The sequence below is a fragment of the Homo sapiens genome, chromosome 17, assembly GCF_000001405.40.
Source record: "Homo sapiens chromosome 17, GRCh38.p14 Primary Assembly".
Lineage (NCBI taxonomy): Eukaryota > Metazoa > Chordata > Mammalia > Primates > Hominidae > Homo > Homo sapiens.
In genome coordinates this window covers 41,314,490-41,315,993 of record NC_000017.11, presented here as the reverse complement: position 1 = coordinate 41,315,993, position 1,504 = coordinate 41,314,490, and the positions used below count along the sequence as shown (strand labels likewise).

Below are 1,504 nucleotides of genomic sequence, written 5' to 3'. Positions count from 1 at the left end.
CTGTGGCCGGCTTCCCCTTCCCATCTCCAACCTGGGCTAATGACAGCTGGCAGATGCTTGGCCATGATGACAGGTCTTTTCGAAGATGTATTTTTACCCTCTGGATAAACAGCAGTTGGCAGGAGTGGGGCGTTTTTATGAGTTGAGGTACTCAGGACTGGAAAATAAACAGCCAGTTAATGAGCCGGTCTTATGGAAACTTGCATAAATAATAACAAAGAAAACATCCCGTCCCTCATGCCTGGGTGAGGGGATATAAAAGCTGCCATCCAGATGGCTGGCCACCGTCAGTCGTGGGGAACTCCGGCTGCGTTACCGACCTGCGAGCTGACGGGCCCGGACCATGGGGTGCTGCCCGGGGGACTGCTTCACCTGCTGCACCCAGGAGCAAAACTGCTGTGAAGAGTGCTGCTGTCAGCCGGGCTGCTGTGGCTGCTGCGGCTCCTGCTGTGGCTGTGGGGGCTCTGGCTGCGGGGGCTCTGGCTGCGGGGGCAGCTGCTGCGGATCGTCTTGCTGTGGATCTGGCTGCGGAGGCTGTGGAGGCTGCGGAGGCTGCGGGGGTGGCTGCTGTGGATCCAGTTGCTGTGGGTCCAGTTGCTGCGGCTCCGGGTGCTGTGGGCCTGTGTGCTGCCAGCCCACACCTATATGCGACACAAAATGAAGACCTTTCCCTCCACCACTGATGCAGTCCCACCGAAAGCCTCCATCTGCTCCAGGGGGACAGCCCCTCGTGTCCAGAACCTTCCATACCCCCAAGACAGTGTCTTGTCTTTCTGTGATTTGTAGAGGAGGGCTTGTTCTCCAACACCTTCTCTGGTATTTCAAGGCACCGAGAACAAGAGCCATACTCTGATGAAACATTAAAACTCGGTCACAACTAAGTGATCCCAAGCTCAAGGGTGAATCCCCAATACTTTACTTATTCACATGAAGTTCAATGTCTTGTACTATAAGACATCCTCTTCTTCAAGGTGTCTTTGGGACTGATCCTCCGCCCTGGCTTTCTGCAGCTTTGAGATGCAAAAAAGGTCCATCTTCTTTGTGAGCCTCTTAATAAATTTGAGCATGCTGGCATAACCTAATTAGTTCTCTTGCCTCTTCCTTGACCTCCCTGCTGAGGACTGGGTTAGAAAAATTCACTCTGGCATCTGCCTTAGGGTTTTTGAATTGTGGTTTTTGGATCACCTGCGTCGGAATCACCTGGGAGCTTGTTAAAACTGGAGACTCTGAGGCCCTCCCTAAGACATACAGAATCAGAATCCACCAAAGTGTGGCCTGGGAATCTGTGTTTTTAACAAGAACCTTAGATAATTCTTATGCACTGAAGTTTGAGAACCATAGATCTAGACGGAAGCTTCCGTGTGCTGCATGAGATTCACTTGAAAAGCTTTTAAAAATATAGATCATTGGGTTTTATCACTGGAGATTTTACCCGTTAGCTCTAGGGCCTAGAGTCCCTAGGGACCTGCATTTTTAAAAGCTCCTGGGTGAATGCTGATGCTGG

General features: G+C 51.3%; 1 protein-coding gene across 1 annotated transcript; it reads left to right on the top strand.

The window, feature by feature from the left end:
• The first annotated feature begins 283 nt into the window (after nt 1-283).
• Nucleotides 284-1,082, top strand: KRTAP17-1 (keratin associated protein 17-1). Its single transcript, NM_031964.2, has one exon. The coding sequence runs from the start codon at nt 344-346 to the stop codon at nt 659-661; it is 318 nt and encodes a 105-aa protein (NP_114170.1). The 5' UTR covers nt 284-343; the 3' UTR covers nt 662-1,082.
• Nucleotides 1,083-1,504: the final 422 nt, after the last annotated feature.